Here is a 19,995-nt window from a genome sequence, read left to right on the forward strand (position 1 = left end):
GAAAAGGGGAACAAAGCAATAAATTACAAAAATAATGAAATAAGTGAACTAAAATCACAGAAATGCTATTCAATTAAAAATAAATGAAGCAAGCTTAAGGTTTAGCTAAGGACTCTCCTGAAAATTGCACATTAAAGAGAATAACTCAGACTCCACTTTATAAATAACAACTTACCCTCCTGAACTCACATGGTTTGATAAAAAGAAACCTGTTCTTTTAAACAGTATTTACTTTGTATTATTGACTATTCTTTGGAGGTAAATTAAAAATAATAGAGAAAGGCAAGAAAGAAGATCATTTGCCAAAGAAACATGACAAAAGCATCTGAAGGACCACCTGCTTTTAACTCCTCCTTTTCCCCACAAAACACAAAAAAAAGCCCCAATCCTGAACCAGAAAATAAAGCAACAACATTAGGGAAAGGGTGAACTGACAGCAAATCTATTAAGTGCCTGGATGGGTGTTACTCAGAAAATGTTTGGGACAAGGTTGGTCCTGAGAGATGACATAGGCCTGTGGTTTGCAATCCACACAGTATGTTGAAATCCTCTGGGAAGCTCCTGCTAGGACTCTCCTCTCAGAGGTTCTGATTCCTTTGATTTGGGTGAGGCCTTAGAATTGGGAAGTTTCAAAAGCTCCCAGGTGATTCTAACATGCTGTTATGGCTAAGAGCCACTGCATGGGTCTAAGGCCTTCATTTTATGAATGAAGAAACTGGGTGGAGATCTCCGTGGCTCACCTGGCTCATCAGTGGCAGAACGAGTGCTATGTTTCAAGTTTACTTCTCTTTCCACCTAACATCCTTTGTACTGCTTCAGCCCAGGACAAGGTCTTACTCATCTCATAGCTACTTTACCCTGCCTGCATTTAATGAGGCTGGCCCTGTGATAGGTGTCCCGTAAATATTAATTAAATAAATTCATATCTAGTTTTCAATTGCTGATAATGACCATATTGGAAAACTTATCAATAGAAGTGGAGTGTGCCAACTGCCAAGGGATTTCCAGAGTTTCCAGAGGTTCAGCATTGAGAAACTCTCTGATTGCCTATTTTTAGGACTCAACAAGCCATCCCCACATAACCCTAGAAGCTGCAATGACTTCTATCAAAGTTGCATGATACCAGCTAAATGAAGAGATTTTAGGGCAGGCTGGGGGTAAATGGGGTTTTTGGGAAATGAGGAAAGAAGGAAATTCAGAGACATTACACGTGAGCCACATGTAAAATGAAGGAAATATACACAACCAGATCATACTAGGAATAATGACAGGCTGAAAAAGGTGGGAATATGGGGACAAAGTGAAGTTTTCTCTTGATCTGGGCAAATATAGAAAGTGTTAAACAAGAGGAGGAAAGGTTTGAAGAACAATGGCATTCAGATAAGGATGAGCTCACACAGAGGTGATATCTACTTGGTATGATTCACAATCCAAGTTTTCCTTTAGTTATTTTCAGGAGCACCAAGATACTTTATTGCCTTTCAAACTTCTGCTGGCCTTGGCCTTACCTTCAGATATTTAAATTCTGTAGAAACAGAGTGAGAATTCTGATGCATCTGCTTAATTTAAGGAGAATTCAAGTCAAATTGACTGGCAATGATCTTTGCACCTCACCCATCATGCTAATGTCTGAGACTCCACATTAGAGCTGCAAGCCTTTACTTATAAGCCTGGTCTCAATATGAACATTGTCCAGGAACAGGCCACACTTAAGGTTGTGTCAGTTATTGATACTTTAAGATAATGAGTGAATGAGTTCCATCACATCCTTATGGAGTAGTTTTGATCATCATCATTACAGAAACAATAATGGGTTTCCAGCAGCTGTCTTTCACTCTTCCACCTTTGTGAGGAACAAAGCCACTTAAGTTTGCACAGTGCTTTATAGTTCACAAAATATCTTCATATCTTATCATTTATTATTGTATGTCCCCTTTTTATAGATGAGAAAAAGTATTAAGTAACATCTCCTGGCATCCTCTTCTATTACCACCCTTGATGAGGAACTCAATTTGAGAGAAATAGGGCATTCTAGTGGGTGGAGCCACTCAAATTTGATAGATGGGCCAGAGGCATCATAGTTCTTTCCCAGGATCATGGTGAGTCAGATCCTGTCCCAAGCCACCTCCTCTACCAAGAATGGCAATCTTGCAATAAATGATTAGAAAACAAGCCAATAATCCTTTTTTTAAATTAAAAAACAATTTATTGAAAAAGAGTAATGCTTTATACAAATTCCTATTATAAAACCCCAAAATGTCTATTGGTCTGTTTCCAGGTGTGGTAGAAGAATATAAAAAGATCAAAATTGGATAAATTCTATTGTAACAATTTCGTTGGTCATTTTGGGCCATAAAATTTTTTTGTAATGTTTGGTAACTGATATCCACATGGAATTACACTCACACATCATGAAGATCTATGTATGTGGCAAAAGCCATTTAAATTTTAACTTCCAAAAGCATATATTCTCAGGTTTGGAAGGCACACTAAAATTTATTAGGTCCAATTCCTCATAAGACACAGTGGCTGACTTTCCTTGTGTAGTTTATTATGAAGTACCATTTCCAAACTAACTATCCTAGCAGCGTCAGCTGCCAGCTAACAGCAAGAGCTCTGAGGGCATCACTGAACAGATAGCACCTTATGAGTTATTATGATTCAAAAATCTCCCTTGCTGTTGGATTTACCAACACGTAGGCTTTTATTTCTTCCCATTACATCTGTTTAGCCACAGAAAGCATCGGGCCATACTCACTGCAGAAGATAAGACTTCCTCAGAATCTTATTTGTTTAGTGCACTCAATTTTACTTCACTGTCTCATCACTTGAGAGACTGGTTAAGGCAAGAAACCCATTTCTTAACATTTTTTTTGTTTTCAAACATTTGAAAAGCAACACCAAAACGTATGCAGTTAATTCCTCAATTCTTTCCCTTAGTATAGCACTTTTTAAATTACAAAACCACACTTACATGTATTCTATCTCACTGGATCCCCACAACATCACTGTGAGGTGGGAAGATCAGGAATTACAAACCACCGCTTACAGATGAAGCAATAAGCTTACAGCAGCCAAATGCCTTGCTCAAACACAGACGGTGATTGATAGCACCAAGACTCAAATCCAGGTCTCCAGACACCAATGCCAACACCCTTTCCATTACATCATCTTGCTCAAGTGAAATAGCATTCTGTACAGACTGGAAAAGTAAGAGCAGTTGTTAAAATGGAACAGAGCACAAACATGTCAGACACAGCTGAAAGAATGGAAATAGACTGGTAGAGAGAGGAAGGCACTGAGCCACATGAAGGTATGTGCGTAGGTTTTGTTCAGTGGAAATAGACTGGTAGAGAGAGGAAGGCACTGAACCACATGAAGGTATGTGTGTAGGTTTTGTTCAGTGGAAATAGACTGGTAGAGAGAGGAAGGCAGTGAATCACATGAAGGTACGTGTGTAGGTTTTGTTCAGTGACTTCTTCAGTGTCTCAGCCAGCTGAGCAAATAAAGACACTACATAGGCATAGTTCATGTTCAAAGAATGAGAGTAATATAAACTAATTAATATTCACACTACCTCTTCTAACTGGTTAAGTATCATTATCTCAATTTGGCAGATAGAAAAAAGAGGTAGAAAGATTAAGTGACTTGCTTACAGCTACAGAGAGAATATTTGTCACCAGATTATCACTCCAGAAAGTCTAGCACTTTGTTCAGACAAACAGACCACACCTTATTAGGAAGATATAAAACGCATGATAATTACACTTGGGAAAACAATACAATTAAGGAATGGGGAACAAAAAGGTAGTTTAGGGGGATATAAAACTATGAATAAGTAGCTTAAAAATTCAATCAATAAAGTTGTGTTACAACACCTGGGGGAACAGCATGCAGCTACTCAATTGGACAAATATTTTCAAAGCAAACAAGAGTGCTATGGGTCAGAGTACAGGGATTGTGTGGGAAGGTCAACAGGAATTTATCACTTTGGTCATGCAGAAAGATTTGCCTCCAAAGTTCTGATTTGTAATAAATTCTTCTTGGCTTTAGAAACTAAAATGTAGGCTATGAAATGTGTTAGATTCAGGAGATAGAGACCAATGAAACACAAAACAAATAAGGGCTTAATAACGATGCAAGTGCTATAAGATTATGGTAAAAAATAAAATAAGTATATGAAAAGGGCACGCATGAAGAATTGAAAGAATTCATCCTTGGTAAATTAGGCTAGGTCTTGTGGCAAAGGCACCCAAAGCTAATGAAGAAGAGTAAATGATATTTGACTGTTACATATGTATATATAGACGAAAAAGAAAATATACCAATAAACATCTTCATCAATATGGAATTAAATACATTTACCTATTTTAGAGATATTTTAAGTATGCTAGTATCAACATAATGAGAATAGTATTTTACTGTCTATTTTTAATAGAAAAACATGTATATATACATATCTATATATATTTAAGGAGCACCCCTTCCCCCAGTTGAGTATGATTACTCAATGGGAAGCAGTAATACAAATGGAAAAATCTTCCCTCCTATATTGAGGAAAGAAGATAAAATAAGATTAAGCCATGTTTAGCACTGAGTATTTTAACACATGGGTTTTTTGTTTGTTTGTTTGTTTTGTAATACCATACTTCAGATTACAATACCCAAAATTCTAAGGTCCTAATGTTAATGATAGTATCTCAATGTCCATTTTCGGTTTGTTTCAACATGATTTTCTCCTTTTGCCTCTGTGTCACACGTAGTCTTTCCCGCTGGAAGGTGCAGGTTTTGGATAGGGCCTTGGTGTTGGGTAAGAGGTTGTTTTTCGGGGACAGGAACAGCAAAGTAGGGCACCTCCCAGAAGGCAGAGAGAAGCAGCAGCCCAGCCAGTGAAGAGAGCCTGACCAAATTCGTACCTAAAAGGAAAAACCCATGTGCTTGTTAATCAGTGAATTATTGGCAACTTTTCTAATATAATAAAAGGAAAAAAAATCAATACTCATTGTATTTTTTTCATTGAAAATAACCCCTGAATATCCCTTGGGAAGTACTTTAAGATTTCTGAACATACACGCCAAAGAATGTTTATATTGCAATTGGTGACAATTTGCAATAGTAGATCAGGAAATAACACATGTAATACCAGGTTAATTACACAAATAATTCCAAGGACTTTTCCATATATAGGATACTTGTAAAGCATGTTTATATGTTTTAGAAGTAGGGTTTGGATCATGGTTCCTAGGCTGAAACTTAGCAAAGGAAGCTTTATCACTAAGTAGTAATCATATTCTATAAAGAAACTGATAGAGCATAATGGAGATAATCAGAGCTTTGAACAGATGATCCATTGGTCCCAGGCACCTATACAATCTGAAATCCAAATCTTATGGTTTTGTAAAGAAAAGTTCTAAGCAGCCCATGAACCATTCTGGATTAAGCTGATCCAGGCAGATGTATTAAAGCAGACACTTAGGGTGGGGTATCTGTGAGTGATTATGGACAATACGGAAGAGTAGAGAAGGGTTGGTTCTATAAGTTATAAGGCCAAGTCTAAATCCTGATGCAGACTCTCAACTGCTGCAATTCTGGGATAGCAACTTCACCTCTCAGCCTCAGTTTCTCCTACTCTCAAAGCAGGATAATCCCACCTGCCTCAATAGACTGCTTTTAGGATCACATGCAATAATGTAAATAACAATTGCAAAATGGCTGGCAATTTATAAAGTGCTTTCCTGTGCATTACTGGTGTTATTACCTTGGCGAAATTTTAGCCTACTGACCTCTAGCAGTTTCTATTCTTACACTGTAAATCTTATGGGATGGGCTCCAACACAACCATTGCAGTATGTGTTCTCCCATATGTGGGTGATTATATAAAAAGAAACACATCTTATCTCTCCAAACACTGAGGTTTTTCATCCATTCATCTAAGCACTCAACAAACAATAATTATATTTTAACATCCTGACTGAATGTAGTTATTAGGCATTAAAGATGTGAAGACAGTGAGATGAAGAGCCTCGTCTCTGATTAAAGAATGTTGTTACACGAGAGCTAAGAATCAGCTCAACTTGCACAACCTGCAGTATTAAGAAAGATGACCTTTGTAAAGCCAATTTTACAGTTGTGAAAGAACAAAAAATTTCAAGGTGGTATCTGAACATACTAAAAACATACATAATAGCTTTACGTGTAAAAATGAACTGTTGGGAATGAAGTATTATTCATTAACCCCTATAGTAGTATAATTTTTCTCAATCAATCATAAACTGTGCATTAGTTACAAATAATCTTAGGTAGGTGTTGTAAACATCAGAATACACTTCAAAAAGGAAATTTCAAATATATTAACATCTTTATTAATATTTGAAAAAACAAACAAAAGAAAGCCCAGTTATACAGTTGAAAAGCACAGAGCTTGAAACTTTTCTACTTTGGAAGGTATTTTGTCATCAATACAGGGTGTTAAAGCAATTATCAAACTCATTTTGACATAAGTCAGAGATCATTTAAATTGTTTGTAGGTTTGACATAAAATTCTTGAAAGCAAATCTGGGAAATGATGGCACTAGCAGGACTTTGTAGAATATAAAAAGGGCATTTTCTCAGAAAACAAACTATTTTACGCCTGAATAGCGTTACCTGGCATTGACTGGGGTCATAGGGTCATAGAATTCTTGAACGATTCTATTGCCATACCATGCTGTGGCAACTAAAATAGCCAGACCTATAGAAATTCAAAACAAAAGACTGTTAATCACCATGGAACACTGAGCCTAAATACACAACCTGTTAAACCAAAACATATTTTGCAAGAATTAAATCTCATCAATAGTGTTGACATTTTTATTTTGGTATTAGGGAGATTAGAAGTCCAGATATGATTTATTCCAAGTATCTATTAAAATATAAAAAAATACTAGGTTGGCATTAGACAAAATTTATACTTTTTTATGATATCTTGGCACAAATAATTCTTTTTTGGAAACAATTAGGCAGGTGTATGTTGTACAAAATCTCTTTTAAATATGCTGTTATACATTAGGATACTAAACTACATTTGATAAAACTATTGTCATTATTAGTACAGGTAGAATTACTTGCAAAAGGGGAAGATGAAAACTCTTCTATGTTCTTGATCAAACTCAAAATTTACATTTCTGCAGAGTCAAAAGGAATGCAAGCAGCTAGATAGAGTGAGATCAGGACATGTCTCAGAATGGACCAGAATACCTGCATTACTACTGCCCCATTGGCCAAGGGAATACCTGATATAGGTATAGGTTGGCCTGAGATTTGTTGAGGGTGCCACATCAGATCAATTTATGCAACCCAATCTCAATTTCCCATGGCATTTTATATTCAATGATAGCAGAGAAATCATTTAGTCAAAATCATTCACTTAATCATTTATAAGATGTATAAAATACTTCATTTTTTTATCAAAAAAGTTAAATAACTTTTTTGTAGTAATTCTAAGTATTCATCAATATAGATAGATTAGATGTTTCTATGCTACTGTCTCTCCCCAGCCAAAAACATGGTCCAATGTAATTGCCTCTAGACATGACAGAAAACACTATTGCTTTTGGCTTCTCAAATAGACCATGCGAATGGTCTTGAACTTGTGATGCTTACTCCTAAGAGAAGTCCCTGAAACTGGAATAGGAGTGATGCAGTCACATGTGGGAGTTACAAGAAGGCAAGCGAAGGAAGAATGCAATGCATTTCATCCTCATCGTCTTCCAAGCACTTCATACACTTCATGCCACGATGGCCACAAAGATTACTATTCGCAGCCTTTGATATAAGAGTAAATTATTGGGAATAAGACACTATCCATGCCTTTTCAGAGAGGAGTCAATTTGTATTTGGGTAAACTGAGAGACTGGTCATTTTAAACTAACCACATCTTTAGCAAAGCCACAGATACTCTTCCTCAATTACTGGTTAAACTGACATATTATACTGAAGCAAAAGCCCCTACAAGTCTTCTGTCAAAAAGAAAATAAGAAAATAAAGTCTATTCTAGTTTTTTTCTATTAGTAGATTTGTATCATTAATTATATCTGTTATTTTTTTAAAATAATATACTATAATATACTACATATATAATATATGCATCTAATACCTAATATAGAGAACATATAGTAGTCTATTATTATAGCTGTATAATTTATATGGAGATTATCAACATATATAACACAGTGTATAGATATAAAGATATATATATACACACAGAGAGATTGCATATGTATGTACATATACACACGTAAGTATACATACACTATAATTTTTTAAATAGGCATTATTATAAAGCTTTGAAATAATGCTGTCCATGTTTTCTGACTTTGATTTTCTCAAATGACACATAATGTAACTTATCAATCAACACTTGAATTAAAAAACAGATATTTCTTTTCTTTTCTTTTTTCTTTTTTTTTTAGACAGTCTTCTGTTGCTTAGGCTGGAGTGCAGTGGTGCGATCTCGGCTCCCGAGTTGAGGTGATTCTCATGCCTCAGCCTCTGGAGTATATGGGATTACAGGCGTGCACCACCACACCCAGCTAATTTTTGTGTTTTCAGTAGAGATGGGGTTTCACCATGTTGGCCAGGCTGGTCTTGAACTCACGACCTCAGGTGATCCGCCCTCCTCAGCCTCCAAAAGTGCTGGGATTACAGGCGTGAACCACCACACCTGGCCTAAAAAACACGTATTTATTTTAAATGGAAAATATAATATTATTTTATCAAAAAAATTTAAAGGTATTTCTGTATTTTTTTTTTCCTAACTGCTTTAAACTGACCATTCCAACAGGCCACCTCTACTCCAGTTGGCCTTTCTTTTCATTGATCTACAGGCACATCCTGTTTATTCTCGAATTAGATCTGCCCAGCTGGAATGCTATCCTTATTTTTCTCCAATAATCCCAATCCTTCCATCCCTCACAGACCTGAAGGGTTCACATATTCTTGTGTTTTCTCTCACTACTCCCCATCTTTTCCACATAGTATCTGTGGAGACACCATAGGAATTATCTGAATTACATGAACTTCCTCCTTAGCGTTTGCTAAATAGTGAACAACTTTCTTCACTGGAAGAGACTGGTTCTAACAAACCAGTTGCCACTTGAAACTTCAACCAATAGACCTGTCAGATGTGAGCAGAGCTCTCACATTTTCATTTAGTTTGTGTTTGAGAACATGAAAGTCAACTGGACTTCAGGTCTATGTTTGCAGTTTGCCTTAGAGACTGAAATCAAGTATAATGAATCCAACGTAATAGATTTCAAATCATACCAGGAACAGGTTAGTAAGGTGAAAGGGGGGCACAGCCTCTATTACCTGCAAGAAGAAATATCGCACCCCCAATGACAGCCATCCTCATCTTCTGCACCTCATCGTCTTCCAAGCACTTCATACACTTCATGCCAACGGTGGCCACAAAGATTGCTATCACTCCCAGGAGGATGCCAACCACCATCAAGGCACGGGTTGCTTGCAATGTGCCTGGCAGAAAACATTTTAAAACATGTAAAAATATGCTTGGACCAACAAGAGAAAAATGGAAGAAGACCAAGTATATGTCACTGTTGTATGGAAGAGAGAAAACTGGACTAGGAATCTAGAGACCCCAGTCATACTGATGTTTCCGCTGGTAACCCAATATACAGTATCTTCTCCAGAAAAACAAATGCCAGGCTGGATGATGAAAAAGAGATCCCTCCACTCCAATATTTTATGTTTCCAACATTAAATTCAAAATCAACTGGAAAATTAATTAATGATCTAATTGAATAGGGTTAGCTGAACTAATACATATTTATTTTTTACTAAGGGATTTTCATCCTTGCTAAGATAATTTTAATTTTAAGTAACAATCATATATACTATCCTGGATGTTAACTATTTGTAATCAAAATGGTTTACAGTATATCTTTGATATTAGTCACCAGCTTTACACCCCAATCAATAAGCTTCAGAAAAACTGGATGAATTGGAAGATAAAAAATAAATGTTTTATAGATTATCATGGCTGGATAAGCAGTATTTGTATCTCCAGTGATGTGAATAGGAGGAGTGGGGAAGAATATAGAAGTCATTTTCTTAAAACTAAACAAAATAACCTTTGAGATGTTACCTTGGGACATAGTAGTAGATTCATATTCAAAGACATCACTAGTTTTTTAAAACTATTTAAGCTGCCATGTTGTAAAATAGCACACACAATAATTCAATGTAGTGTTTCTCAGGATTCCATTTTTTCTAATTTCCCATCATTATTTTTGGTGTACTAACTCATGATCAAATAAACAGGGTCAAGTTTGAGACATTATCACTATGTTTCTTAAAGAGTAAAAACTTGATGCCATCATTGTGGCATAAAGGCACAGATTTTTAAATATGAACTGAAACTATGCTGGTTAGAAGATTTTGTTTAAATTCTAGATTTATGTCCTCCTTTAATTAAAGATCACTATATCATTGACAGTGATAATATGTGACAAGTGTTTTTTGCATATATAAGTATTTTTTAGCTTTAACAAACTGTGCTATCTTGAGCAAGAAACTTAGTATTGTTTGGAATAATATTTCAATTATATAAGTAAAATGTAAATTATATCTTTATCCAGTGGATTGGAACAATTGACTCCTTGATGGTCTTTAAAAGTGGCTGAGATGTTGGAAAGGTTTTGTATCTCAATATCTAATCAGGCCTAGGCTTAGTGTTAATATTGTCAAGATTGAGAACTTAGGTCACCAATCATAATTGAAGCTAAATATTTCTAAAACTTCATTAAATCTTGATTTACTGATTTTCTGTCTTTGCTATAACCAGGCAATCTATGATAAAATTATAGTAATCTCTTTATTTTTCTTTTTTTGAGATAGAGTCTTGCTCTGTTGCCCAGGCTGGAGTGCAGTGGTGCGATATGGGCTCACTGCAACCTCTGCCTCTGGGGCTCAAGCGATTCTCATCCCACAGCCTCCTGAGTAGCTGGGACTGCAGGCACGAACCACCATGCCTGGCTAAATTTTTTTTTTTTTTTGGTATTTAGTAGAGATGGGTTTCACCATGTTGCCCAGGATGGTCTCAAATTCCTGAGTTCAGGTGGTCTGCCCACCTCGGCCTCCCAAAGTTCTGGGATTACAGACGTGAGCCACTACGCCTGGCCATAATCTCTTTCTAAAAAGTATCAAAGGTATTGTTTACAGTATTTGAGAGATATTTTTGAAGCCAAGGTTAAGTTTTACTTGATTTCATTTAAAAATAAAAAAGAGACTTCCTGATTCCCCTCACACACTGACCTCCTCATAAGCATGTATGGGCACACATGCACACTGACCCACACACTTATCTCAAGATTCCAGGTGGCAGAGGAACTGCTGGATCAAAACACATGTTCCACGGACCACAGGTTTACCAGGAAGGAACTGAAGCTGCTTGTAAGGTTATTACACAACTTTTTCCTTGGAATCACAAGCCATACTGTGGTATGAAGAGGAAAGTACCAAGGGCTCCATGGTTAAGGTATGTCCTCTTTCTGATGGATGGTTTTTGCAAAGGCTATCATTATTGGGAAATAACAAATAAAATAACTAAACCCATACATAACACAGATTTCAGATGTGGTCCTAAGATTACACTTGGCAGGAAAATATTTCAGGCAGAGATATGCCTGAAGAGGAGATGCTGAAAGTAACAAAGATGATCCATGTCTGGAGGATAGGGAAACCACATATCTCAGTTTGCCTGGAACAGTCCTAGCTTTAAAGTTTAAAGTCCTACATCCTTAGAAGGCTCTCAATCCTGAACAAATTGGGAGAGCTGGTCATCCTAACGCAGGATGATAGGATGTGCAAAGTAAAACGAAGTTTAGCAAGGTGGGCAGAAGGCATATGTCATGCAGAACTTCGCAAATTAGGGTAAGAAGATGGATTCTATTCTAAGTATAATCAGAAGTCATATGATTATCTTGAGAAAGGGGCGACATGATTTTTACTGTCAGCATAGAGATCACACAATCAATAAATATTTCTATGACAGCACTTCAAGCATCTATAGCATCTTACATTTCACAGCCTCCTCCATTTTATTTTTTCATAAATACTCTTTTTCAACCTTTTATTAATCATTTTAGATGTTTTCTCTGATCTTGCTCCAAGTTTTTCTCTTTGTTCAAGTTGTGGGGCCCCAAACTGGACCAGTTTATAGAATAATCACACTGATCTTTTCTTCAAGTAAAAACAGAAGGTCACTTGCCCAGCAGGTCTGAGCACTTAGATCGCAGAGTAGTCTTCAAGAGAAGTCTAACTGGGCATCAATCTCATGAGTCGGACTGTGTAAAACCCCTGATCTCCCAGGCAAGGAACACATGTGCATAAACTACTCCAGGGCCCTTACTGCACCCACCTGGAATGACCTAATATTCACATTTTTAATCTCTAAGTTTTTGCCCATTAAGTTCTCAAAGAAAACACATTTGATTCGTGTCAAATCTATCTTGCCACTTCATCTACAAAGTGTTCTTTCCAAGGGGCTGGGGACTGATATTCTGTTCTATGATTGCTAAGAAACCTATCAGGTTTCATTTCTCTATAGAATAATATATTATTTGCATAATACACAAAAAGTAATGGAGAAAATGGAAAACACAATATTTAAAAATTGCATAAACCATAGAAATGAGATCCTGCTTTGTTTTTTAAAATGTCGTTTTGCAAAGTAATATTTTCACTTACATCCTGGCAACTATTGACTTATACAATTTATTTGTATGTTCCAATATTAGATTTGCATCAAACCCAAAATCTTGCTTTGCTTCATTGGAGATATTTGGATAAATTCTTAAGTATAGTTATATGTGAGGAAAATGCAAAAATAATATACACATGTAGTCACGCACAAAAAGCTGAGAATTAAAACAGCACGAAAACTCACAAGCAAGGCGTAGGTAATGATAGGTTACCAGTCAAAGTAAGCAACTATTGTGTTACAAGTTACAAGTGTTTTATGTGCAGATCAAATCTAAATTGCACAGTTTTAAGCCGGAAACAGATGAATACCTTCACATCATAGAAGTGTTTTAAATCAGATTTGTAAAGTATGTAATCATGAACTCCTGGATGATTTGAGTCAGATATTTATTCCTATTTCCATCTAAAGCACCAAGCACAGTACTTGAAAAGTCACATGGATTTATCAAATTTCAATAAATTTAAATTAGAACATGTCTTTATCCTTTAAAAATCTGTACCAATATGATAGGTAAAAATACTTATTCTCTTGTGTTTAGCTTAATTTTTGAAATAATACTGAGAAATACCTCCCTTGAGAGCCTGGTATGCTAAAATCTTGCTACTAAAAGCCAGACTTAGCTTAGGTCACTGATAACTAGAAACTCATGCAGATAATACAAATTGTACTTTTTGCTTATTTTGATCTATTTTTTAAAGTATGTATCTAATGAGCTTCAAAGCTTAAGTTTTGTTTCTTTTTGCCCTAATGGAATGATGAGTGGCAGAGCAGAGAAGTTAAAAAGGATGTTTGAAAGCTATAAAACAACAATTTGGATGAGATAGATGTTGTATAGCCTTGCAATATTAACTTTGAATTGGTCTGATTAGAACAAACCTAGGAACAAACATATTCCTTTTCTCACCTCTTAAATTTGCAGCTAAATCTACAATATTATGACCACTGACTAAAGTTGTCTATGGAGAACCTGGTTAGCAAACATTAAAAAAATTACACTATTTTTTCTCATCATTATTCAGCAGTAAACACAGAAGGCAGTCTTTTAATTATATTTAGCTAGACTGACAATCTTGAGATTAAAGACCCCCTAAGGAGTTCTCATCATTTTCCACCTGAAAGTAGAATTAAAAGTAAATACTTACAAAGATCTCTACTTATAAGACAAGAAGTGAGTTGGAAGTTACTGATCTACTACACTTAGGTTAATCAACAAATGTGTAGAAAGACAGACATATATGTAATTTTTCTAAAGCTTGAAAGTCTTGCTACACAAGTAGTAGAATCTACTATCAATACCAGACATTGTTTATGCTATTTTCTAGCCATATTACCTTAGGTTCTATATATCATAAACAAAATATAGTCATCTCTTGGTATATAAGGGTGATTGGTTCCAGGACCACCCACAGGTAACTAAATCTGCACATGCTCAAGTCCTACAGTTGATCCTGTGGAAGCCTTGTATACAGAAAGTCAACCCTCCCTACATGCAGGCTTTGGACTCTCAGATACTGTATTCTTGATCGGTATTGGTTGAAAGAAATCCACCTATAAGTGGACACTTGCTGTTCAAACCTGTGTTGTTCAAATGTTGACTGCAGATTCCAATTCTCCCTTTGCATCTGTAGTTGCTTAATAAGTATTAAGTGAATAAATGAACTGATGATTGGGTGACTAGAACAAAAATATTGTGCTTCCTTCTCCCCTGCAATTAAATGAGCTCAACACAGACAGTCACAGAAGTGTACTCCCCTGGCTTTTCTCCATATTAAATCTTTTACTTTTACGGAAGTTCAAAGTTTCATAAAAGTCCTAATCATTAGCATTTCCCTCTTATTGGTGCATGAGGTGATGGTCACCAGATGTGAACTCAGAACATAAGCAAAATCAGGAGTGAAAATGATCCTGGATGAGGCAGGATGTACCACTTTTCAGGATGTCCTCAGAAGTTTTGCTACCTTTCTTGTTTGTGTGTTTCTTCAAGAAATTTTCTCAGAATTAAGTTGATGCTTCTATATTACCTCCATTATATTTCCTTAATCACTCCAATTAAGGAAACCTAAGCTATGTGACTTGCCTCTTCCCCTTCAATCACTGAAGTAATAACAAAGAATTCTGGCACTGGAAGGAATCTTAGAACTCATCTTAGCTGCACCATCCTTAGCAGCAAGAATAGGGCCTAGCTTGCATCTGTTGAATGGATAAACGAATCATAGATTCATCTCCCCATTCCTCCCACTCTGCCCTATTTTATAAGTGGGGTAACTACTTGAAACCAGGGAGATCAAGTGGCTCACCATTATACACTTGGCTACTTAGTGCCAAACCACAGTAAGAACAGAGAATTTCTGATCTCAAGCCTGGATTTTTGCTTCAACTTCCATTATTCTAAGAGTCAGAACTAATTTATGAAGTATATCTGAACACCAATGGCCCTTCGAGTACCCTCGGTTCAGCAGGCACAACGCATCTGGAGAAGCATAAATAGGTGCCCTCCTCTCCACTTAGGCTTCAAAGACTGTCCACGTCAGTGATTTTGTCTCTCTGATTGAGCCTGACATCATGGTGAGAGTGCTGGGGAAGCTCACAGCCACCAATACTCATTAAGCACACCTACACACATGTGGATTCATGCAAAGCAAGTTAAACAGGCTAGAGGAGCTTATAAACAAATTACAGAATCTCAGGGTTCGGTGAGATTGAGAGAGAGTCTAGCCTAACCTCCCATTTGTCTGGTGCTTGGATCTTCCCTACAACATTCCTTCAAAATGCTTATTTATTCTCTGCTTGCACACCTCCCACCATGCAGCCTCCTACAGCAACTCAATCTTTGGACAGCTCTAGCTATTAAAGTCAAGTAAGAAGAAGCATTTAAGCAAGCACATAAAATTGGCGCGAGCTTCCTAAAAGTTTGAGAATTAGATGAAAACAAGGCGAGAGGTACAGGTGAATCAAGAAAAGTCTACTACAACTGTATCTGGCACTTTTTGTATATTCCAACTTTCAGCTACAAGAATCCCCAGGGTCAATAAAATCACATACTTTGGATGAAATGGAAATTGTATCAGCCATTATAAAACTACAATACACAATGTGACATTTGTTTCCCCAGGAAGTGCCTCAGTTACATTTTCATAAACCGCTTGGCAAGAACTACCTAAAAGAAGAAGCCTTGCTCTATCTCATTTTGTATTTACTGTATACACTATTAGCACACTGTATTCCTTCAGATACTTTATGAAGGTCATATGCTTTTTATGACCTACCCTACATAAAGCAGGGAAACAACAGATTTTAATACTTCCCGTGCTAAAGCCCTGCATCTGGCCGGGAAGACAAGTGTGCTCTACTGGGAAAGACGGCAAGGTACAATTTCGGGAAACCCACAGCTAAGCTTTTCACCTAAACACACTTAATGAAATGCAGCTTTTTTCTGAGTGATACTGCTTAAATATACACACATAACCCTTTTCATCTCTACATGTAACAAAACTGTACCAAAACCAGCCAATGAATCACCATCCCAGATCTCTACAGCTGGTGGGCGTAAACACCACTGCTCAGGCAGAGAAATGAAGTAAGGTTTCCTGGGTTCTATCCAAAAGCATCCCGTGAGTCACGGCAGGTGAGAGGAGAACACCTGTGAGTCAAGGGTCCCTCTTCTGAGAATGGGTTTTGAGAGAAAGGCCTAAGCCACACCTTGGATAAACTATGGCTTTAAGTAAAATAAAAGTGGATTCTGATCTGGAGTTTTAAAAAAATAGGAAGACATCTCTAAAGTGTGTGTGGGGGGGTAGGTATTTAGTCCTTTCACCCTAGTTTTAAAAACTGTAATAACTACATTAACCAAAAAATGAAAGTAAAACATTTTAACACATTATCATGTGTAAGGATGATCCATTTGAGTATTTACAACATAGATCAATCTGATTTCATTTGGTCATTTCAGGAAGTTAAAAGAAAACCTATTTAAAGATGTTGAAAAGGAACTATTTTGATCAGAGGAATAAAACTGACAGTGAGACCTCTCTGGAATTGTCCTTAGAAACCTCCACCTGCCAATTCCTTAACGTGGTACCTAAAATGCCTGACACCGTTTCCTTAAATATATTTATCTTTCCATGGAGAAATTCAATAATTATTACCAAATTTTTCATTTTATAAGTACAAATATAACCCCTGAGGGCAATGAGCAACACATAATTACTAAACTTATGGATTGGTTTTGGTGTAAAGAAGTCCTGATATGAGAACCTTCAAAAGCTGAAATAATAACACTCAAAACAACCATGCACATTGACTGAGCAAATGCCACAGGTATTCAAGGTGTTCAAACAGATTTGGAACAGGTTTAATAACTCTAAACTATATGGCTTTTGATATACACTATTAAAAGTTGTCCCTTGATAGGAGGTAGACAAAACAAGTTAAGTAAACTTGAACAATGCCAACACTTTTCACCCTTAGCATGCAATGGGGGCCAGTGGGCAGTCACGTTCATCTAGGCAAAGACTAAGGGATCTTTTCTTCAAGTGAGTTAAAGGGCATAACAGACACATGATATAAGACAATTAATGTGATTTCTCAAGGAAGATACTCCAGCCGTGAATCATTATTATCTAAGTAAATGGGAATTTAATGACTTTTCGGACAAGGAACTCGAAACCTTTAATTTAAAAAACAAAGTAAAACAATTATCCTATTATCCTTCTTCCCACCATCCTTAGAAATATGTCTCTCTATACAATCCTTTCCAGTTTTACAGGGGGTCACTGAACATCCATTACACAGAAATTTCTTTGTGGAAGATGGAAACCTAAGGAAGACCCACCTCTTCTTTCTCTCTCACTGCCTTCCACTCCCAGCTGACCTCTGATTTCATCAGCTATGACTATTTTGCTGCATTTCCCTTCAGTGCCTTTACTTTTTTCTTTGTATTATGTTGCGCAGGTTATTTAGAACCTTTCTTGTCAGCCTTTCCCCACCTGCCACCAACCTTCTCTTTCCAAGATAGCACTACACCGTCAGCCTCTACAGAAGACCTTGGGTCTGAAAATTAAAACTTCGGGGGAATCTCAAGCAGCTTCTCCAAAGAGTCTTGCAAGGGGCCTCCCTGCACTAACTGGATCTTATAAATTAAAAGAATCAACCTCAAGCATAAGCAGAAGACACTTAGATAGGACATTTCCAGTAGGAATGTAACTTTTACTATGAAAAAATCATATTAAAGGTTAAAAAGTTATATCTAATACTTGAGGATTATTTATTTAAGCGTGCACACTTGAGAAGTTACCAGGCTTCAAACTTTTTCAGTCATCCCATTTTCTTGTCTGAACTCTACCAATCCTCAATTTACCCCAAATCTCGGAATGCCTAGGAGAGGTCTAAGAGCTCAAGTTCAAGTTTGGCCTTCACTCCCTCAACTCGAACCACCAGCATAGGAATTTAGGATGAAGCCACACCTAGAGTGGCAGAAGTGTCACCCAGGGAGTTAGAGGCAAAACTAGAGCTTATGCCTGGGCGTCGCTTTCCTCAAACCAGGATTCTCTTCATTTCCTTATGACAGAGCACATGATCAGAAGACTTGATCAACTGAAGACTGATAACCATGGAATCACACAACAGAATGAGCCCATAAGGGAGCTGCAGGGGGACTGGGGCCTCTGGACGGCCGCTGTGAGGTGGGGGTGCACTCACTGCTCAGATTCAGCAAGGAGTCAAAGACTTTGCACTGGATCTGCCCGGTGCTCTGCGACACGCAGGACATCCACAGCCCCTCGTACATGGCCTGGGCGGTCACGATGTTGTCGCCGGCATAGGAGTAAATCCTCCACTGGGGCAGGGCAGTGCTGACGATGGCGCCGATCCATCCCAGGAAGGCGAGAATGAAGCCCAACAGCTGCAGCCCCGCGTTGGCCATGACTCGCTCGGGCGCCCGCGCTGGCTCAGGGGTGGCAGGTGCAGAAGGCGGAGAGTTTGCAGGTGGGCAACCCGGACTCCCGAAGGTGGCTGGGCCCCGCGGAGGAAGTTAAGGCGGGGAGCCCTGCTCGCTGCGCCGCCGCTGGAGAAGCTCTGGGTCGGGGTTGGGGTCCGCGCCCGGGGCGGCGCTGGAGTCTGGATACTAGAAGCTGCGGTTGCTCCCAGGCTCGGGAACTGAGACGCAGAACCGCTGGGCGCCGCGATTTAAAGCAGCTCCGCCCGCCTCAGCCCCGGCAGCCGGGGAGCGCCCCCTGGCGGTTTCAGGGCGGCTCACCGAGAGGGCGCCGGGAGCGCCCGGTTGGGGAACGCGCGGCTGGCGGCGTGGGGACCACCCGGCAGGACCAGGCACCAGAGCTGCGTCCCTGCTCGCTTTCTCTCGTGGATCTTCTCGCTCCTGTAAGGCGTTTCACGCTTTTCATTCATTCACTCCAATTATCCAAAAATTACTATGCACTGTACTTGTAAATCCTAACACAAAGATGAAAAAATGATCCTTCAAGAGCTGCAGTTTTAGGTTTAATACTTTTTTCCCAATATCTTATTAAAAGGCATTTCTACCCAACTCCGCGTCTCCTCCCCCATCACACCATTTCTCTCTCCTTTGCTTGGCTTCCTCCCCCTTCTTTCCTCTCTCTGCTCTCTTCTGTCAAGGTCGTTCCATCACTTGTCTCTGCAAGGAGCCTCAGAGACTTTTACACTCTACAGATTGGGAAACAGACCCAGAGAGCAACATGATTTACACACACACACACACACACACACAGACACACTCACGCACGGAGCATATCCAGTACTTGGCTCCCCTCCCAATCTGCTTTCCACTACATATCAAGTTGACCCAAAATATCCCCTTTGATCTATGATTGTCCTTTTTGATGTATTATTGTCCTTATGAAACTGCAGGCTAGCAGCCCTTCCCCGCCAAACACCAACCTCCTCCCCACAGCAGTTATGTCTTAGAGCAGCAATTCATTATCAGAGGGACCTGGCCAGTGCCCCGCTCTCCCTGAAAGGTGTTAATTTTGTGAGTTATCAAATGTTGTTCGTCGCAGGTGAGGACATGTAAACAGCGTTTCCCCAGTGGCAAAAGGACTGGGCTGGAGTTGAGGAAGTCTGGGCTCTGGTTCCAGCTTTTACTGTGACTGGCTATCTCACCCCTCCGGTTTCGGTCTCGCTGGGACTGTAGTTTCCCTCTATGTTTCTCCAAAGCTTCCTTCTTTGTAGTTAGTCAGAAGTGCTGTTGTGGTTAGGAA

At 38.3% G+C, this 19,995-nt stretch overlaps 2 protein-coding genes across 4 annotated transcripts in view, besides 1 other annotated feature; one reads left to right on the forward strand and one right to left on the reverse strand.

Moving 5' to 3' along the window:
- Nucleotides 1-19,995, forward strand: part of CLDN16 (claudin 16) — a 121,778-nt gene that overhangs the window by 13,163 nt on the left and 88,620 nt on the right. Inside the window, exon 2 of one of the 3 annotated variants that reach the window (NM_001378492.1) lies at nt 11,370-11,536. The exons of 1 other annotated variant lie outside the window; for it this stretch is intronic. The gene's annotated coding sequence lies outside the window, so the exon portion shown is untranslated. Of the gene's footprint in view, nt 1-11,369; nt 11,537-19,034; nt 19,139-19,995 lie in introns of those variants that run through there. One more of the 3 variants, XM_047447333.1, reaches the window with a different exon arrangement.
- Nucleotides 2,184-18,923, reverse strand: CLDN1 (claudin 1). The gene is made up of 4 exons (NM_021101.5): nt 18,461-18,923; nt 9,349-9,513; nt 6,646-6,730; nt 2,184-4,916 (listed from the first exon to the last, which is right to left on the reverse strand). The coding sequence occupies exons 1-4, from the start codon at nt 18,681-18,683 to the stop codon at nt 4,754-4,756; spliced, it is 636 nt and encodes a 211-aa protein (NP_066924.1). The 5' UTR covers nt 18,684-18,923; the 3' UTR covers nt 2,184-4,753.
- Nucleotides 18,914-19,073: a silencer, noted in NCBI's record as "silent region_15001". NCBI's record gives its function as "represses an Ori minimal core promoter by ATAC-STARR-seq in GM12878 lymphoblastoid cells {active_cell/tissue: GM12878}" and the evidence as "EXISTENCE:reporter gene assay evidence [ECO:0000049][PMID:35858748]".

The sequence above is a fragment of the Homo sapiens genome, chromosome 3, assembly GCF_000001405.40.
Source record: "Homo sapiens chromosome 3, GRCh38.p14 Primary Assembly".
Lineage (NCBI taxonomy): Eukaryota > Metazoa > Chordata > Mammalia > Primates > Hominidae > Homo > Homo sapiens.

Bases quoted from the DNA above. Each gene is read 5' to 3' on its own strand.
- CLDN1 (NM_021101.5), bottom strand. From the start codon at position 18,683: ATGGCCAACGCGGGGCTGCAGCTGTTGGGCTTCATTCTCGCCTTCCTG. The intron at 9,514-18,460 runs GTGAGTGCACCC...GTTTTCTGCCAG, and splicing joins CTCCTTGCTGAATCTGAGCA to GCACATTGCAAGCAACCCGT. The intron at 4,917-6,645 runs GTAACGCTATTC...TTTTCCTTTTAG, and splicing joins ATGACCCCAGTCAATGCCAG to GTACGAATTTGGTCAGGCTC.